The sequence below is a fragment of the Homo sapiens genome, chromosome 8 (genome assembly GCF_000001405.40).
Source record: "Homo sapiens chromosome 8, GRCh38.p14 Primary Assembly".
Lineage (NCBI taxonomy): Eukaryota > Metazoa > Chordata > Mammalia > Primates > Hominidae > Homo > Homo sapiens.
In genome coordinates this window covers 93,720,467-93,741,068 of record NC_000008.11, presented here as the reverse complement: position 1 = coordinate 93,741,068, position 20,602 = coordinate 93,720,467, and the positions used below count along the sequence as shown (strand labels likewise).

General features: G+C 38.7%; 2 protein-coding genes and 1 long non-coding RNA gene across 23 annotated transcripts in view, besides 1 other annotated feature; 1 reads left to right on the top strand and 2 right to left on the bottom strand.

Annotated features, from left to right (window-relative positions):
• Positions 34–153: an enhancer, noted in NCBI's record as "active region_27619". NCBI's record gives its function as "activates an Ori minimal core promoter by ATAC-STARR-seq in GM12878 lymphoblastoid cells {active_cell/tissue: GM12878}" and the evidence as "EXISTENCE:reporter gene assay evidence [ECO:0000049][PMID:35858748]".
• Positions 60–12,914, top strand: RBM12B (RNA binding motif protein 12B). Of its 15 annotated transcripts, NM_001377961.1 has the most exons (5): positions 60–188; positions 373–440; positions 2,184–2,245; positions 3,714–3,762; positions 4,631–12,914. In NM_001377961.1, exon 5 carries the CDS (start codon positions 4,659–4,661, stop codon positions 7,662–7,664), a length of 3,006 nt encoding a protein of 1,001 aa, NP_001364890.1. In that variant the 5' UTR covers positions 60–188; positions 373–440; positions 2,184–2,245; positions 3,714–3,762; positions 4,631–4,658; the 3' UTR covers positions 7,665–12,914. The 15 variants fall into 15 exon arrangements, with proteins under 15 accessions (NP_001364890.1, NP_001364889.1, XP_047277728.1 ...); NM_001377960.1 differs by lacking the exon at positions 2,184–2,245; XM_047421772.1 differs by having other exon boundaries at positions 2,184–3,762.
• Positions 250–958, bottom strand: RBM12B-AS1 (RBM12B antisense RNA 1). Its single transcript, NR_027259.1, has one exon. It is a non-coding gene; the product is annotated as an RBM12B antisense RNA 1 (long non-coding RNA).
• Positions 9,542–20,602, bottom strand: part of CIBAR1 (CBY1 interacting BAR domain containing 1) — a 30,978-nt gene continuing 19,917 nt past the window's right edge. For 5 of the 7 annotated variants that reach the window (NR_156452.2, NR_156451.2, NR_156453.2 and 2 more), the window contains 2 exons: positions 14,556–14,675; positions 9,542–12,864 (listed from right to left, as the gene is read on the bottom strand). Coding sequence is in view for 2 of the 7 variants with exons in the window: in NM_145269.5 (NP_660312.2) it covers positions 12,772–12,864; positions 14,556–14,675 (213 nt within the window). In the remaining 5 variants the exon portion in view is untranslated. Of the gene's footprint in view, positions 12,865–13,824; positions 13,939–14,555; positions 14,676–16,473; positions 16,560–20,602 lie in introns of all 7 variants that reach the window. The other 2 variants (NR_104268.2, NR_104267.2) reach the window with 2 other exon arrangements.

Below are 20,602 nucleotides of genomic sequence, written 5' to 3'. Positions count from 1 at the left end.
AAGCTTGGTGGTGGGTTGCGCCTGCAGAGCGCATGGGCAGATAAACCGTACGTCCGTTTGTCCGGACCGGAGGGGCAGTGGGCGCCATCTTCTTCTGGGCTCACTGAGGGTCTACCTGTTTTGGGGAGGCTGCTGCGACGAAGAGTTCCCTCAGCCTCCGGCCTTGTGTGTCCGACTCGGCAGCAGTGGTGTGTGTTTATTGCCAAGTGCGAAGCAGTTCCCCTCGGGGCGCCGGGGGTGGGGAGGGCTGGGCGACCAAGCCGGAAGAACGGGGAAAGGCGGGACCGGCGGCCGCGCCAGTATCTAGCGTAGCTCCTGCCGTTAGGGCACCCTCTTTTCTTGCTAAAACACCGACTCTTCCTTTCCCGTCAGCTTCCATGTGGTGGTGTATGTGCGCTTCCCAGGGATCTTGAGAGTGAAGATCTCGAAGGATTTCATAGGTATATTTTTTTCTTTGCTATGTCATCGTAGTCAGTGGTGGCAGAAAAGCGCTGCAGGCCCAGCTCGTTAGGCTTGAGAAGGGCAAGTGTTTTCAGTTAGATCTGGGGGCAGTTCACCCTCTGGCGAGTTAGGGTGGAATGTTTGCCCTTGAGACGGCGTAACGGAAAGGCACGGAGGTTGGGCGGTCCAGGTTAATTTGAAGGCTGATTTTGGCTGAAAGTCTGGCGACAACATCGGATCCCACGTAGCAACTTTGGCCTGGCGCGAAAGAAGGAAGCTCTGACCCCTGGGAGTTGTGGACAAAGGCTTTGGGCTGTAGAATCGATGCCTTCGGATGATTCCCGTTTGAGGATGTTGGGAGAAATCCTGTGCCATGTGGATTCGTCTTCATTTACAGTTCTTCCTAGGGACTGTGGCTCTCATTGGTCATTCCTTTGGTTTTTATTTTAAACATCTACATTATAAAAGGTGGATCATCGTAAAGAATAATTATGGGTTGGTGTAGATTATTTTCTGCAGGGGAAACTCACGTTTAGAGTGTGAATATGCTACATCATGACCTTGGGCTTTACGAAGTAGTCGCAGAGTTAAAAAAAATTCTCTCCCTCACCATATCTGGAAAATGACTTTTTCTTCGCTAGTTAAAAATCAAATGGATCTGATGAGATATTACTTATTTAAATTCTGTCTCCCTCCCGTTTCCCTCTCTGTATCCCCTTAAGTCTTGATTAGAAGAGGCACGTTACGTATTGTTTAGTTATAATGGTGATTAAGTGGGATGAATCGTTGGATAAAAATAGCAGTTATTTAAAATGCGCTTTAAATTTCACTGACTTAAGTGATCTTTTAGGGACCCACTCTTCTTTTCATAGAAATTTTAACAGATTATTGTCTTCAAATGAACACAAAGGCACAAAAATACTTTTTGCATTCATAACTAGAAAAACGCAAAATTTTAATTGCAGACTACTTGAGGGTAATTTTCGTGTTTTGCTTTTGTGTAATTTAGTGTGTTAAGAGTTGAATTTCTGGAGAATTTGCTTAAGGAAATATAGCATGTTGGAACCACAGAAGTGCCCATTTTGAGAGCTGGTCTCTTACAGTTGGTCTCCAAGGTGTGTTATTGTAGAGGCATAAATGGTACATTACCCTACTGTCTCAAGGGTAGAGAAGTTTAAGCATTAGTTTTGTTTAACTGTGGCAAATGAGAATAAACTTTCTAAATAGTCTGCTTGAATTGGAATTCATGAGATTTGTGCTCATGAAACTACTTGGTTAAAAGATAGTTTTTAAGTGAGGTAGGATAAATTACTAGAGTTTTTTTGAATTTGAGATATAATTATTCCTTGAAACGTCTCTAATTTCTCTTGTAGATGAATTTATGTTCCCAGGGTAAATCCCGTTAAAATTTTTTTAAAAGCTTAGGAGAGACAAGAATATGTATAGCTTATGGTGCTTTCTAAAATATCTTAAAAAGAGTAGCTAAGCCAATTTGCATAGGAGGGAGTCTTGGGACTTTAATATGGATAAAGTAAGTATTCCAGAAGCCATTTGTAGTTTTTGTTGAAGTGTTAGTATGGATATTGGTTTGTTGAAGAAAATAGGCTTTTTTTCTTTTTTTGTTACTGTGCAAATACTTTAATAGCAAACCTGATTAATATTTTTCAGATGTAGAATGTGTGAAGTAATTTGATGTCTTTGCTAGTTTAGCTTCTGGTTAATCTACGTACCCTTTTTTAAAGGAAAACAGACCTCAGTGAATGTATCTTCAGACCCCCACTTTGGGGAACAGTGGTACTTAAGTGTAAGTACTGGATTCTGGATTAACGCAACATTTATTTGTACATTAAAGACATGTAAATTACTCCAGGCGCAGTGGCTCATACCTGTAAATCCTAGCACTGTGGGAGGCTGAGGTGAGCTGATTGCTTGAGCCCATGAGTTCCCTACCAGCCTGGGCAACATGGTGAAACCCTGGCTCTACAAAAAATACAAAAATTAGCCGGGTGTGGTGGTGCACACCTGTAGTCCCAGCTACTGGGGAGGCTGAGGTGGGAGCATTGCCTGAGCCTGGGTAAGTCGAGGCTGTAGTGAGCCAAGATCGCACCAGTGCACTCCAGCCTGGGTAGCAGAGCAAGAGAGACCCTGTCTCCCCCACCAAAGAAAGTGAGTGTAAATTATAATTATTTATTTGGCAAGTCTTCATGAAATAGTTTGGGTATCCCTGAAAGTATTAAACGCAAACTTCTTTAAAAAATTACATTGAGATTTTTCAGTAAACGGGTAATCCCAGTATTCCAAGTTAATTTTTAATTTTACTTTTCTACATCATCATTTGGGTTTCCTTAGTAGAGTGCAGAATAGTTGTTTGAAATGGAAATCTGCTATTGGCATTATTAATAAGATAAATAGCATTTTCTGTTTGGCTTGAGATGAATTGTAACAGTTACTATTTTTGCAATAGGAGTGGTATTGAGATTTTTAACTTTAGGGATATTGTAGTATTTGCCTTAATTATACTGGCTTCATGAAATTTGGTTCTGTGCTTGGATGTATGAGCTGTTTATATAGACCTTTAAATTGTATCCAAACAATAGCCCATAGGTTTGGATTTATTGTTTTAAAAATTGATTTTTGAATTTCAGGCTTTGCTGTTTTATTCATTTATTGTGTAATTTTGAATGGTTGCCTTAATTTGATTTGGTCTTATGTTTTGAAAGGGAGGAGAACAGCACGAGAGTTGGATATAAATATGTACTAGATTTTTGGATTTTCATGTGGCAAAATGATTGAAGTTCTTTTTTTTTTTTTTTTTTTTTTGAACTTTGGGTATTGAGATTTTACTTGTAGAACAGTTTTTTGAAGTAGATGTAAAACTTGTGTACAGCAAAATGTATAGACCCTAAGGATAGAATTCAGTAAACCTTGATAAATTTATACACCCATGTAACTACTGCTGCATTCAAAATATGTAACATTTCCATCACTCCTTTCTTCGTGCTACTTCCAATCAAGAGCAGTTGTTAAATTTTCGGCAAGTTTCAAATTTTTAAATAATTTTTATATGTCTATTTGGATATTGTATCTCCTTTTTGCAGAAGGATGATTAATTTCCCCTTGGAACAAAAGACCATTTTGTAACACCCGTAATTGTGGTTCCTTATTCTGCTTCACTTTTGATAGGTAATTCTGAAATGGATATCCTACTCTGGCGTTGTTTAAGATAAATTACAGGGTTCAAGGATTAATTATATTTCATTTTCTTTCCACAGTTAAGTTGCTTTTACAGAGTTAACAGGTCTCCAAGAAATTTTAAAAAAGGTAAGATATCCAGAGTTTAAGGCTTTGAGGCTCAACAAAAAACATGTGAAGTAGAATAGTACATCTAGGTATCCATGGCTTCTGTTCTTTTTTTTTTAAAAAGACAGGGCCTCACTCTGTCCTCCAGGCTGGAGTGCAATGGCACAGTTGCAGCCCATTGTATCCTGAAAATTTCAAATTGGGCTCAGGCAGTCTTCCTGCCTCAGCCTCCTGAGTAGCTGGGACTACAGGTGCATGCCACCATGCCCGGCTAATTTTTTCTTTTTAGAGACGGGCTCTCGCTCTGTTGCCAAGGCTGGTCTTGAACTCCTGGCCTCAAGCGATCCTCTTGCCTTGGCCTTGCAAAGCCTGGAATTACAGGCATGAGCTATCATGCTGGCCCTGGCTTTTGTTCTCTGTGTCTGGCCAGTGGTAGGCAATTTATTATCATGAGCAGAAATTATATACTAACCATAGATGACTTTTCTAAATATGTAAAATTCATTGCAGTTGATAAAATAATCTACAAAGCTCTCATGTTTCAGTAGAAGATAAGATTCTAAATGAGTCTGAAAGTAGTTTGGTCTTGTGAAGCAGCATTTGGCAGACTTACAAAGGAAGATTTGATATTTTTGATGTTCCTATTGTATAGAATAGGTGATACGAAATGTTTCTTCAAGGTAGTTGGTTTATTTGTATTTTTAGATGGGAGAAAGTTTATCCCTTGTTTTCTTTAATAATTAGATATGATCAGTATTTTTGTGAACTTGTATCTTGTTTTCATTTATAAATGTTGAAGAAAGCAGGAACCAGGTAATTATTAAGCTTAGTTTGGGCTAAGGTACTTCAAAAATAAGACTTGCTATTATGTGTACCTTTTTGTCTGCAGGTCATTATTGCTGTGGTTTGAGCTCAGCATGGCTGTAGTCATCCGTTTACTGGGGCTTCCTTTTATTGCGGGGCCTGTGGATATTCGTCACTTCTTCACGGGATTGACTATTCCTGATGGAGGAGTGCATATAATTGGAGGGGAAATTGGGGAGGCTTTTATTATTTTTGCAACAGATGAAGATGCAAGACGTGCCATAAGTCGTTCAGGAGGGTTTATCAAGGATTCATCTGTAGAGCTCTTTCTTAGTAGCAAGGCAGAAATGCAGAAGACTATAGAAATGAAAAGAACTGATCGTGTAGGAAGAGGGCGTCCAGGATCTGGGACATCAGGGGTTGACAGCCTGTCTAATTTTATTGAGTCTGTTAAGGAAGAAGCAAGTAATTCTGGATATGGCTCTTCAATTAATCAAGATGCTGGGTTTCATACTAATGGTACAGGACATGGTAATTTAAGGCCAAGAAAGACAAGGCCATTGAAGGCCGAGAATCCTTACTTGTTTCTACGAGGTTTGCCTTACCTAGTAAATGAAGATGATGTACGTGTCTTTTTCTCTGGTTTGTGCGTGGATGGAGTAATTTTCTTAAAACATCATGATGGCCGAAATAATGGTGATGCCATAGTAAAATTTGCTTCATGTGTTGATGCTTCAGGAGGTCTTAAATGTCATAGAAGTTTTATGGGTTCAAGATTTATAGAAGTAATGCAAGGATCAGAACAACAGTGGATTGAGTTTGGTGGTAATGCAGTTAAGGAGGGTGACGTTCTTAGGAGATCTGAAGAACATTCTCCACCAAGAGGAATTAATGATAGACATTTTCGAAAACGGTCTCATTCAAAATCTCCCAGAAGAACACGTTCTCGTTCCCCTCTTGGATTTTATGTTCACTTAAAAAATCTGTCCCTCAGTATTGACGAAAGAGATTTAAGAAATTTCTTTAGAGGTACTGATCTGACTGATGAACAGATTAGGTTTTTATATAAAGATGAAAATAGAACAAGATATGCCTTTGTGATGTTCAAGACTCTGAAAGACTATAATACCGCTCTGAGTTTACATAAGACTGTTTTACAATATCGTCCAGTTCATATTGATCCAATTTCTAGAAAACAAATGCTGAAGTTCATTGCACGTTATGAAAAGAAGAGATCAGGGTCACTAGAGAGAGATAGGCCCGGACATGTTTCACAAAAATACTCTCAAGAAGGTAACTCTGGCCAGAAACTGTGCATCTATATAAGAAATTTTCCATTTGATGTTACAAAAGTTGAAGTGCAGAAGTTCTTTGCAGACTTTCTTCTTGCTGAGGATGACATTTACTTGCTTTATGATGACAAAGGTGTTGGTCTGGGAGAAGCATTAGTGAAATTTAAATCAGAAGAACAGGCCATGAAAGCTGAACGTTTAAACCGACGAAGATTCCTAGGGACAGAGGTGTTATTAAGACTTATATCTGAGGCACAAATACAGGAGTTTGGTGTAAATTTTTCTGTGATGTCCAGTGAAAAAATGCAAGCTCGCTCACAGTCACGTGAGCGAGGTGACCATTCCCATTTATTTGACTCAAAAGACCCACCAATATACTCAGTTGGTGCTTTTGAAAACTTTAGACATCAGCTAGAGGACTTGAGGCAACTGGATAACTTCAAGCATCCCCAGAGGGATTTCCGGCAGCCTGACAGGCACCCTCCAGAAGACTTCCGACACTCCTCAGAGGACTTTAGGTTCCCCCCGGAGGACTTCAGGCACTCCCCAGAGGACTTCAGGCGACCTAGGGAGGAAGACTTCAGGCGGCCTTCTGAGGAGGACTTCAGGCGCCCTTGGGAGGAAGATTTCAGGCGCCCTCCGGAGGATGACTTCAGGCACCCTAGGGAGGAGGACTGGAGGAGGCCCCTTGAGGAGGACTGGAGGCGGCCACTGGAGGAGGATTTCAGGCGGTCTCCCACGGAGGACTTCAGGCAGCTCCCCGAGGAGGACTTCAGGCAACCCCCTGAGGAGGACTTAAGGTGGCTCCCAGAGGAAGATTTCAGGCGGCCACCTGAGGAGGACTGGAGACGGCCCCCAGAGGAGGACTTTAGGCGGCCTCTTCAGGGAGAATGGAGGCGACCACCCGAGGATGACTTCAGGCGGCCCCCAGAGGAGGATTTCAGGCATTCCCCTGAGGAGGACTTCAGGCAGTCACCCCAGGAGCATTTCCGGAGGCCACCTCAGGAGCATTTCCGTCGGCCACCCCCAGAGCATTTCCGGAGACCACCTCCAGAGCATTTTAGGCGGCCTCCCCCAGAGCACTTCCGGCGGCCACCCCCAGAGCACTTCAGGCGGCCACCCCCAGAGCATTTCAGGCGCCCGCCCCCGGAGCACTTCCGGAGACCGCCCCAGGAGCATTTCAGGCGGCCGCCTCAGGAGCATTTCAGGCGCTCCCGAGAGGAAGATTTCAGGCACCCACCAGATGAAGACTTCAGGGGCCCTCCTGATGAAGACTTTAGGCACCCTCCTGATGAGGACTTCAGGAGCCCCCAGGAGGAAGATTTTAGATGCCCTTCTGATGAGGACTTCAGGCAGCTCCCAGAGGAAGACCTTAGGGAAGCTCCGGAGGAGGACCCTAGACTTCCTGACAATTTTAGACCTCCTGGTGAGGATTTTAGGAGCCCGCCTGATGATTTTAGAAGTCACCGCCCTTTTGTGAATTTTGGTCGCCCAGAAGGTGGCAAGTTTGATTTTGGAAAGCATAATATGGGAAGTTTTCCTGAGGGGAGATTTATGCCTGATCCAAAAATAAATTGTGGTTCAGGTAGAGTAACTCCTATTAAGATAATGAATCTTCCATTTAAAGCTAATGTGAATGAAATTTTAGACTTTTTCCATGGTTACAGAATCATACCTGATTCAGTTTCGATACAGTATAATGAGCAAGGCTTACCTACAGGGGAAGCCATTGTTGCTATGATAAACTATAATGAAGCTATGGCTGCTATTAAAGATCTAAATGATAGGCCAGTTGGGCCCCGAAAAGTTAAGTTAACTTTGCTGTAGAGAGAGAGCATTTCTAAATTCAGTTATCTTCCTTGCAGTATTGATGGAGTAAAATACATTTGTTTTAAAAAAGTGTTTTTTTTTTAAATTATCTAATGAAATATTTTATTTTTGACCTGTGAATAGAACAAATGTAAATAGTAGAATGTGAATCTGGTTTTCTTTTGCTTGCAAATTGCCATTCTTTTTTTTTTTCAAATTTAAAATTACACATGCTGTTTTTTTCTTTGATGGGGAGAAAGAACTCATTCCCTGAGTTCATTCATTTTTGTTGATGTCATCGGTAATCTTCAAGACTTATTGAAGTAGAGTTGTATTTGGGGAAGATACATTTTATATTCACTTTTTTTTTTCTTTCTGTAGTCTACCTCTTTTACTCAAACTGTATAAGGAAATAGTGACTGATTGTTCAGGTTTGGCATTTTCATTGCTACCTGCCTGCAGAATTAATGCCCTCTTCCTTGTCTAAGATATTACTGTGTTAAGTGTCCTGTTAATTATAAATAGTTCAAAATGGACAGACTGTCAACTTGAAATTTACTTATGTAAAAAGCTTAGGTGATTCTTAGGGTTTCCATGTTCATAACTTTACAAAGCTTTATAAAAATAAAATTGCAACTTAATAGAGCTAATTAACTTGTATTTGTATAAAAAGAAAAAAGAATTGCAGCTCGATATTGTGAAGTTTTTCAATAACTTCATTAAACCATATTTATGATGGGAGGGACCAGACATTCTATAGTAATAATGTATAGTGCTGTGTATAATTCCATGGTTTCTTCAACATCTTATCAACCAAGTAAAATTAATACAAGATACGCAAAAGATAGTAAAATAAGAATCTAATTATAGGTGCAAGGGGACTCAGGCTTATGCTGGAAGAATCTGACAAGTGGTATAGTTTGTTTTTCTAGGAAGAATTTACTGATGAGTCACATAACTTGCATGTAATATTAGGTTCTCATTTTTTAGCTTCGAAACTGTGTCCATGCAAAGACTCTATAACTGTTAAGACTTGTGTGGTTGAATTTTGACTTCTTTGATATTCAGCATTTAGTGCATACATTTTGCAACTAGGGAATTTGATTTTCTATACCCACAATAATATTTATGGCTAACATTTATTAGGCACTTACTATGTGCTAGGCACTGTAAGCACTTTACATGCATAATCTCGGTATTCCCTGTGAGTACAGGGTTAATTATTTACCTCTATTTCACAAATGAGATAATGAAGTGGGATGAAGTGCGAGGTTAAGCAACTTGCTTGAAGTCATAGGTAGTAAATCGTGGGGCCAATTTTAACCCAGACAGACCACTGACTCCAGTTCATGCTTTTGCTGCCTCACTTTTTTAAGTGGTATTTTTAATTAGGAAGACCATGCTAAAGATACTTTCAAGGATAAATGATTATTTTCTCACTTCAATTGTTGGTTTAAAATTAGCATAAATAGGTAAAACCAGCATGCTCAAACACTGAGCTCAAACATTAACATTACTAATAAAAAAAAAAAGAGTGACTTTAAAAGTTTCTTTCTATCCAGGGTTTCTCTTGGGATACTCATATGGTATATTACTGGCTTATATTTCAAAATTATTTTATTCAACATGATTGACTTTGGCCTTTTATAATTTACATAAAACATAATTTTCCTCAGTTCTGTAATCCAGATTTTCCCCATTGAGTAAATAATACAATTAAATTTACATATGGTAATTTAGACATTTAATAGGATATTGCATAGGTAGAATACTTTGTCAGTACTTAGTTACTACCTATATGTATTTTTGTGTTACTTTTCAGTGATTTAAAGAAATCTAACAGAAATCTGCTTAAATTTGTTTTAAATAGTGAATATCCTGCTTGCTATGGAATGAATAAACAGGTAAATTTGATATGAAAAAGCACCTCAGTATGATTCTTTAAAGTATAAGCTTGTAAGTAGCTAGGATAATGTTAAATTGATTGTTTGGAATATCCAAACCAAGCACAATGAAGAAAGTAGAAATGATATTTTTAATTGAGCAAAGATTGTATAGATGGTTCATTTGGTCACCCATTTTGAATAATATATGGAAAGTTAAAAAATGCTTCTCAGATACAAAGGAATAAAGCTAAGATGAAGCTTAACGTGAGGGATTACTTACTGTGGAATTGCATTTCAAACTGGGCTGAGGTGGGATGGTGGTGGTAGATAAGAGGCCAGCTAGAGTAAACATAAGCTTTGTAGTTTTATTATTTTAAGAGTCAGAGTCTTGTTCTGCTGGCCAGGCTGGAGTGCAGTGGTCTGATAATGGTTCACTGCAGCTTCTAACTCCTGGGCTCAAGCTGTCTTCCTGCCTCAGCCTCCTGAGAGCTGGGACTACAGGTGTGTGCCACCTTGTCTGGCTAAATTTTTTATTATTTGTAGAGACAGAGTCTCACTGTGTTGCCCAGGCTGTTCTCAAATTTCTGGCCTCAAGCAATCCTCACTCCTTGGTCTCCCAGAATGTGTTGGGATTACAGGTGTGAGCCACTGTGCCCAGCCTTGTATTTTGATTTTTAAATTAATTTATATGAATATTTCCTTTTACCCTATAATGTATCAGGGCTTAATATTTTTAAACTTCATTATAAAAAGTTGATTACAGAAAGTGGTATCTTCTAGTTGGGAGCCATCTTTGCACATCTCTCTCCAACTCTGCCTTTAGTGATATGTCAATAACAAATTGGCCATGGCAGGAGTATTTTACACCATGGAAAGTGATAAATGCAGCAAATCAAGGAATTCCCCTCCTGTTGTCCCCTCAGAAAGCCAGCTTCCCAGCACCTCATCAATTTCAAATATAAAAAAAGAATAGTAAATTTTCATGTACACATCACTCAGCTTCAGTAATTGTCGTCTCATAGCCAGTTTTTCCTCTCCTATCCTCAAGGTATACCAGGTACACTGGAGGTGTATTCTCTAGCCTGATACCCAGTGGCATTTGTCTTAAAGCCAAACATTTTTGTCTAGAAATTATCTAAAAAAATGTAGATCATGTCTAGAAAGTCAATCCCACAACCAAGAGATAGGTAAAAATCATGTTAGGAGTGCATTTCTATTAATTTACTGAGATCACTGTTAAGAGCAGTGATTCTTGATCCATATATCACCTGTTAAGTAGTGACCTTGCTGCCTCTGTTTTTGCAGTAAATATTAGCTGTTGTTTATTGAGCTGTATTAGATACTATATGATGTATAATTATGTATGAATTAACTATCATTTAATTCTGATAATCCTAGTAAATGTACTACAGGTTGAGTATTCCTAATCTGGTAATCTGAAATTTCACATGCTCCGAAAATCACAAACTTTTTGAGTGCCAACATGATGCTCAAAGAAAATGCTCATTGCAGCATTTAAGATTTCAGATTTTTGGGTTAGGAATGTTGAACTGGTATAATGCAAATACTCCAAAATCTGAAGAAATCCAAAGTCTTAAATACTTCTGGTCCCAAGCACTTCAGATAAAGGATACTCAATTTGTATTCCTATTTTGGAGATAAGAGATGGAGACTTACAGGCTGGGTTGGTTGGATTGGTTGCCTGTTTTTTGTTGTTGTTGTAGTGGAAGCTAGGAATGGTTTTTCACATTTTTTAAGTGTACTTAAGTCTTACATGGTTACATAGTTACCTGTATAATAGTCTTGAATTTGCCTAAACCCACGAAGAATAACAGTATTTGCTATCTGGCCCTTTAAGAAGTTTGCCAACCTAGGCTGGTCTAAATAATGAAAATTTTACATTAATGAAAGTATTTTCATGGATAGTATTCCTTTTGTTCTTAGAATATTTCTTTGAGGTAGGCAGAATGTATGTTTTATTCCAGAATTACTGTTTTACGCAGTTTTAACTTTACAAACAAGGCAAATAATGCTCAAGAGAAGTTGCTATTTAGTAAGCAGCAAAATAATAACTCTGTTGTTTTCCCCCGAAGTACAACCAAATTTAAATACTGAGTGAGGAAGCAGTAAATATCCAATGATATCTTGAGTTTCTTAAGAATATCAATTTAGGGTTTTAAAATGTTTTAAATATTTTACAAAAAAGTACTGAAACAACTTTGTCACTTAGGACTATTCTCAGGAAGGAGTGCTTTGTTAAGAACAGAGCCATGATTGACAAAGTCAGAAGCTTTCTAGAAAGTCTTTATTTTTCTGTTATGAATAATTGCATTTTCTAATTATCCCAAATGATTTTATAAATTCCGTAACTTTTATATGCCTGCCTGGGATCCATGAAATAAAAGTATTCCTTACCAAAAGAGAAGCATCAGATACACTGAAAGGCTCAATGTTTTATATTTTCAGAAATAAAAGTGACTGTATACCCTTTTATTAACTATATGGTAGCTTGGTAAAATTTTTATAGAATTTTTAATGATCTATGGTGTTCTATGATGAGGCAACATTCCACCAAATTAGCCTTCCAAAAGTTGCAGTATCATGTATAATTATGACAGCAGTTTTGTTTTAAAACCAGAGTCAGATTGAATGTAGCTTTTTTACAGCTGAAATTTATGCCTTATGTGTATTCATAAAACATTGATAACTTAGTGTCACATTATCTTTACTCTTTGGTTATACTCTTCTTGAAAAGTAAATTTACTTATCAAATGATAAAGTTTCAGGGAAAGTTAAAAAAAGTTTTTTTTCTTAAGGCTTCATGGAATAGAATTCCATGAATCATAATGACTACGTAAGACCCTTTTCTGGTAATGAAAGCATGGAGTCTTAACCAAAAAGCTAAGCAGAATTGTTAGATCTTTTGGTTTCTGTCATAATGTACTATTGGAACTTCAAGTAGATATAGTACATTAATATGAAATACTTTGAAATACACCATCTTTAAAAAAAAAGGCACTTACACAAAAATCATGTAACACTAGGTAGGATGTTGAAATGACTGGTATGCAATATTTTTTAAAGCCTTCATTTTTGGTCAGCATAAGTTTCCTTTAATTATTTTTCTGTTTCCAGTTGGACTTCACTTTGAGGCTTAACATAGCAAAGTGAGTATAAAGTTCTACAATTTAGTCATTGTGGATTTCAAGTCATTTATGATGAAAATGGAAATGTGTAGTTTACTTAAGAAAATTTTCTTCTTCTGTAACATCTAACTCGTCATCCTCATCATCTTCTGCTTGTTGATCCTTTCTTAGTCGACAAGTGGATACCTGTTAAAAGTTAACACACTTTTTAAAATAAAAATACTAACTTAAAAAAATTTTACATTCTTGGTATATTTTTATGCTATTAAAGGGCACACAACAAATATTTCAAAAAAATGTCCATGTCATAATTTTTAGTAGTGAAAATTCCCTATGAATTTTAAGCTCAGAAGCCAGTTTTTTCATTCATCACATTTTTTTGAATAAAAATGTGTAATTAGCCATTTGATTTTAGTTGGATAGCCATCAATACTTCAAAAACATTAAAAGTATAGACTCTATATTATGAATATTAAAAATAAATTTTGGGTCACAGAAACAGCATTTGAGAATCATAAAATGGATGGCAAAAATAGAAGGATATTTCAGCTAGGCAGTGGGACAGAAATACTGATGTAAAAGTAGTGTGATTTAAATGGAATGAGTTGAGAATCTGAATTCACCAGTTTTAAGTTGCCTGACTGCCGCCACGTGGGGCATATTGCTTAAAACTTCTCTTGAGGGTGATTATATCTAACCCAGGGGACATTTGGGAATGTCTAGAGACACTGTTGTTTGTCAGTATTGGGGCTGTGTGTTTATGTGTGCTACTGGCATGTTGTAGGTAGAGGCGGGGGATGCTAATATCTGCTTGATGTCGTCACAATATACAGGACAGTATTCCGTCCCCTTCTTCCTCCCTGGTGGGCCCAATTATTTGTCCCAAAGTCAGCAGTGCTGAGGTTGAGAAACCCTGGGATAATGCATTCTGAAGTGCTATACAAGTGTTAGCTAAGGTGACATTATTAGTTGTAGTCAAAACTTTATATGGACTATAAAAGTAAATTTATGGAATTTATGTTCAAGGCACTTAATGCCGGAATAAAAAAAATACAATTGGGTTGGGGGAGAGATACATACATATAAAACAAAATAAATGCTTACAGGAGAATCAAATGAAAATAGAAAGTATGGTATCAAATTTACCTAAAAGTTGTATCTTGAAAATAAGTTTGTTGAATTTTATATTCTGAAGGCTAGATATGAAAAGGGCATAGCTCTCTAGATCAGGGTTTGGCAAGTTGCGGCCCAGCCAGCCTCCTGCTTTTGTAAATAGAATTTTATTAGAACACAGTCATACTGCTTTATGTGTTACTTAACAGTTGTTATTTATAGTTGTTGGGGTAGAAACCATATGGCCCACAAAGCCTAAGAATGTTAGTCTCCACATCTTAAAGAAAAAGTTTGTCAGCCCCTGCTCTAGATACTGGGAAACTCAAGCTTTCTGGATATAGAAAAAAAATGAAATGATTTCTGTGTTCAGTAAAAGCCCTTTTTTAGTATAATTTGGTATTTAACTTTATAATTTAATGAGATCCACTAAGTTTTGATAGTGAGATTTAAACCTAAGTTGGACTTCAGAATCTGCTCTTCATATTATAGCAGATAACACATCTGCATTAGCATTCTTTTGTCTTTTCCACTTCTGCTCTCAAGTGTTATGCTTTAGAGAGTAATATGTAATTACAGTATAAAAGATAATTAAGAAATAATAGAGCTGCACTTAATGCAATCTTCTGTCATTTTATAGAAGAGAAGAAATAGGTCCAGGGGAGGATAAGTTACCGAGGTGATATGACTGAGGGGAAACATTTTTAGAACTCAACAATTCCAAAGGCAGCAGCTCAAATTCCTTTAGAGTACGGTTTCTTGCTCACCTGTCCTGTTCCAGATACACACTTAGCTGACAGTGATCTCTGAAGAGGTGACTTTGAATTTGCTCTTACAATATCTAAACGAGATGAATAATCTGGTGCATACAGAGAATTTCGGAAAACCTATTGTAATGATAAAATAGCATTATAAAGTAGATGCTAAACAAAATCAAGACAGTCAAATTAAGTTCCTTAGTTAAGATTTTTTTTTAAAAAAACAACTCCCCCCAAATGGACAAAATTCCAATTATTGTAAATGTAAAAGAAAAGACAACAAAAATAAGCTAGAAAGATGAAAGCTAAAAATTCTATTTGAACTATGTAAGATGATGACAGATATTAAACAGTAATTAGTCATGAAACAATCATTTAAATGCTTTTGCCAGGAGAACTGCAGAAGTTGAGACCCTCAAAGAGCATGCAAGCTAGTAGGGAGGCTGCGACTCATACCTTTGAATCTTTCTGTTCTGCAAATTCTCAACTCTTACCAATTTAACTCTGCAGTACTGCTATGAAAATTACATAAGAGTAAATTGGAACCACTATAATTTATGGATTCCAACCTTACTAGGATCTGGAATGCCATGACTTGTCAGTTCTCTTTCCTTAAGGCACTATTTCCAAATGTTTACCACTTTTAAGCCTTTCTAGCTCCATCTTTTCTACCCTACCCCCACCATTTCTCTATATAGACTAATAGGTAAGGTTATCAGATATGAATCTCTTGAACTTTCCCTCAAGCTTTTCGCCCCTCCTTTTCCTTCTTTCTCTTTAAAAATACCATTCTGATTTAGTTCCAATGTGCATTTTTCCTTTAACCAAAACTTCAAACCCAACCAACAAAAGCTTTTGTTGTCACAGGTTCCCTCTCCTAAAAAACAAGCTCAAGATCAGTCTTTTTTTTTTTAGTTATCTCAAGGTATAACTACTTAAAAAACTTTCTTGAATATTCGACTTCATCTCCATTTTCTTTTTAAACAAATTTCTTTTCCATTTATTTATCAACAAACTACAATTGAGCTTTTCACCTCCCACTAAAATTGCTCTTCCTCACATCACCAAGGTCTTTTTTTCCTCTTCATCCTCACTGACCCCCTTCCTGAAACTTAAATGCTACTAAACTCTTTCATTGTCCTGGCTTCTCTATTTCTTTACATCTCCTTTTCTACTACTTATACCTAAAATATTTTTAAAGGGTTTCCTTTAGGCCACTTATTATATATAAAAACAATGCTGCTGCACACAGTGGCTCATGCCTATAATCCTAGCACTTTGGGAGGCCAAGGCAGGAGGATCACTTGAGCCTAGGAGTTTGAGATCAGCCTGGGCAACATGGCGAAACCCTATCTCTCCAAACAAAAAAACAATCAGCCAGGGGTGGTGGTGCATGCTTGTAGTCCCAGCTACTTGGGAGGCTGACGCAGGAGAATCACTTGAGCCTGGGAGGCAGAGGTTGCAGTGAGCCAAGATCACAACACGCCACTGCACTCCATCCTGGGCAATAGAGTGAGACCCTGTCTCAAAAAAAAAGTTTCTCTGAAAGATCTTATCTACACTGTTAATGACTACCCTTCAACTAATCCCCTGACAAGCATACCCTGTGATAGCTGTATTCATGCTCCCAACTATCTCCTGCTCTAGACCAGCACTGTCCAGAAGAACTTTCTGAGATGATGGAAATGCTTGCTGTTCTGTACTGTACAGAAACGTAGCCACTGGCCATGTGTGGCTACTAAGCACTTGAAATGTGGTTCACGTGGCCGAGGAGCTGAATTTTTAAATTGAACTTTAAATAGTTATATATGCCTAATGGCTACTTTACTGAACCGTGTAGCTCTAGATTAGCTATTACAATGAAAGACATTATCTTTTACCTAGAAGACCAAACTATAAGCCTGGGCATTCTCCCTAAATTTCTCACCTGACACTTTGGGAGGCCAACGCAGGCGGATCGCTTGAGCCCCAGGAGTTCAAGACCAGCCTGGGCAACATGGCGAAACTCCATCTCTACAAAAAATATGAAAATTAGCCAGGCATAGTGGGACGTGCCTATAATTCCAGCTACTTGGGAGGCTGAGGTGGGAGGATCACCTAAGCTCAGAGGTCAAGGCTGCAGTGAGCTGTGATTGTGCCACTGCACGCCAGCATGGGCAACAGGATGAGACCCTGTCTTAAAAAAAATTTTATATATATAAAACTTATACATTTCTCACCTGAGGCACTTCTCTTTTATTGACTCTACATACCCTTCACAGCTTACTTTTTATTTAAGGCCAAAATATGTTATTGCTCTCTTTAGACAGGGACCCACTGTCACTTAGGCTGAATTGCAGTAGTGCAGTCATAGCTCACTGTAGCCTCGAACTCCTGGGCTCAAGTGATTCTCCTGCTTCAGCCTCCTGAGTAGCTGGGACCACAGGGGTACTCTGGCTAATTTTTTCACTTTTTGTGCAGACAGTGTCTCGCTATGTTGCCCAGGCTGGTCTCAAACTCCTGGCCGCAAGCAATCCTCCTGCTTCAGCCTCCCGTAATGCTGAGATTACAAGTGTGAGCCACCACGCTTGGCCTCTTTCTCTATTCTAAAACTTTTTGTGGCTCTTGACTGTAAATGCAGAACCTAAGTTATACTATGCCTTTGCAATGCTGGTTCCTTAGCCTAGAATTACAACAAACTGTCCTTCAAGAATTACTTGTCCTTCAAGCACAATGTAAAACGCCATCTTTCTTCTGCATTCCCCTGTTGTCTGAGTAGCACCTACTGTTCATACCCTCAAGTACTGCTTTTTAACTCAGTGTTTTGTAATTGATTACATATCTGTCTCAATGAGTCTTAAGTTCTCTAGACCAACGGAGCCCTGTTTTATCTATGCATCTCCTCCCTGGCAAATAGAAGATGTTAATTAAATTCATTTTTGCCAAATGAATGATGTTAACAGTTAAGTTGCAAACATAGTTAACATCATTCATTTGGCAAAAGTGAATTTAATTAACATCTATGAGGGGGGGAAAAGGAGACCTAAATTAGGGGGTGGCTACACATTCCTTTAAGAGAACTTCAGGACACGGAAGGAGTCAAGGATAAAAGACAGGAGGTGAGACTTGTGTTTTAAAGTAATTCAGGGGTGCTAATTAGGTTAACAGGTTACCAAGGACCAAATTCAATTTTGGTGCCAGACATGGACCACTGACATCCTGGTATGACATAAAAATGCAATGACTTGGGCCGGGCACCGTGGCTCACGCCTGCAGTCCCAGCACTTTGGGAGGCCAAGGCGGGCGGATCATGAGGTCAGGAGATCGAGACCATCCTGGCTAACATGGTGAAACCCCATCTCTACTAAAAATACAAAAAATTAGCCAGGCGAGGTGGCGGGTGCCTGTAGTCCCAGCTAGTCAGGAGGCTGAAGCAGGAGAATGGTGTGAATCCGGGAGGCGGAGCTTGCAGTGAGTGGAGATAGCGCCACTGCACTCCAGCCTGGGCGACAGAGCGAGACTCCGTCTCAAAAAAATAAATAAATAAATAAAAAATAAATGCAATGACTCATTAGCTGGTATTTGGAGGAGAAACATTTTTCTTAAAACATTAACTTTTCTAGCAAAGATGGAATTTAAAGTGGGAAATGGAAAACAGTATGTAACCCTTGGGATACAAGTCTATACCAGTTAAATATTTATTACAATTAACATTTTACTCCAATTTATTGGCAATAATGCATTTTCCAACATGGTCCAAGATCTCTTCTAAGAGCAGTTCTCAAGATCTGAATGTGCTCTGAAGTTAATACAGAGGTGACCTGACAATATTTTTTTTTTTTGTGAGATAGAGTCTCACCCTGTCACCCAGGCTGGAGTGCAATTGGCACACTCTCAGCTCACTGCAACCTCTGCCTCCCAGGTTCAAGCGATTCCTTCCATCTCAGCCTCTCGAGTAGCTGGGATTACAGGCACGCGCCACCATGCCTGGCTAATTTTTTATATCTTTAGTAGAGACAGAGTTTCATCATGTTGGCCAGGATGGTCTCGAACTCCTGACCTCATGATCCGCCTGCCTCGGCCTCCCAAAGTGCTGGGATTACAGGCATGAGCCACCGCGCCCAGCTGACAGTACTTTTTATGTGAAGAACAATTAAGATGGTTTGTGATATAACTGGAGGTGCCTAACTACAAAACACTGGCTGCAGCTGGAATAAATCTCAGCGGTTCTTACAAAGCATGGACTATCTGGAAGAATAGCAAGTTATTTCTGTCTTTTTCTGCATGTTTTCTTTACTTCTTTCCAAGAAACCTGTATTTACAGGATCTTTCCTCTTGGTAGGTACCTGTTTGATATATCAGTTACATCAATTAGTTACTTCCCCTGGTTCCACAGTTCTCTCCAGACTGTTCTCTCCACAATAATGGCATAATAATAGTTTATGCCTGTGGTTCATTGAACACGTGCTCGTGCCCTATACTGTGCTGTTTTGTTTTTGTTTTTTTCCATGACATGCCATGATTCTCAACTGTGTTGTTTTAAATACACTGTTCTTTCTTCACAACAGTCCTGCCTCAGGACCTTGGTATATCTATCTATGCCCTCTACCTGAAAGTTTTTGCCAGGCATCCTCCCATGCATCCCTCAAGATTCTAAGAAATCACTCTGATTCTCCAGACTATTTGTAACCCTCCATCACACACAACACTTTTTTTTTTTCTTTATAGGACTGGTCATATAAAAAAATCATTACACAGTTTTTAATGTCTGAATTCCCTGGTAGATTTAAAGTTACTGCTTTGACAACTTGGACTGTTTCTTAGAATGCTACATCCTTCACACTTAGAATGGTGCTTGGTGCATATGAGGTGCTCAATAAACAGTTGTTGAACAAACACTATATGAGGTAAGTACTACAGTATCTCCATTTTAGAAAGGAGGAAGCTGAAGAGCGAAGAAGTTAACTTGCTCAGTATTACTTCACTAGAAAGTAGGGGAGTTGATATTAAAAAAAAATCTACCACATATTCCGGAGACCTTTAGTTTTACATAGAGCTCTTCTCCCACAAACTACTTAGATGGCTGATTAAGAGTACTGGTAAAAAGTTATAAAGGAAGTGGTGTGACAAAAAAATATCTAGGACCTCTGGGATGAGGAGGAAAACCTTGGGGACTGAAGGGCTTGAAGGAACTTTAAGGTCAGTTAACAAATGGTATGTCAAAGGTATTATACAAAGAAGAATGAAAATACTTATAAAGTGGACTACAGTCTTGAAGGAGAATTGGGGGATCACTTTTGAAGCTGCCACTAAATGCAGTGTTACTTCTTGCAGGAAATGGTTAATGCCACTCATCAAGAACCATACTTCTGGAAGTCTAATGTAGAGAGGATTAAAGCATAATGGGCCTTGTAGTCAGACTTCCGGATCAGACTTCCAGCTCTGCTACTTACTAGCTATGAGATCTCTGGGAAGTTTCTTAACCTCACTGTGCTTCAGTTTTCTCATCCACAGAAATCAGAAATAAGTACTTTTATCAAAGTTATTGAGAGGATTAAAATGATATAGTTAAAATGCAAAGATCAGTAGCTGACTCAAAGTAATTATATAAACGTTTGCTATTTTATTATTTTATAAATGACAGATGAAAGCTTGATAATCAAGTTTTTTTTTTTGGATGGAGTCTCACTCTGTTGCCAGGCTAGAGTGCAGTGGCATGATCTTGGCTCACTGCAAACTCTGACGCCCGGATTCAAGCGATTCTTCTGCCTCAGCCTCCCGAGTAGCTGGGATTACAGGCGCGTGCCACCAAGCCTGGCTAATTTTTGTATTTTTAGTAGAGATGGGGTTTCACCATGTTGGCCAGGCTGGTCTCGAACTCCTGACCTCAGGTGATCCACCCGCCTTGGGCTCCCAAAGTGCTGGGATTGCAGGTGTGGGCCACTGTGCCTGGCCTTCATAATCAATTTTTAAAAGCAGGACATGAAAAGGAGTGAAAGTTAAGAAACCTTAGCTGTAGTGTTTGGAATTAACACTTGGGAAGTCATGATTGACAAATAGAGAAATATAAATATGTA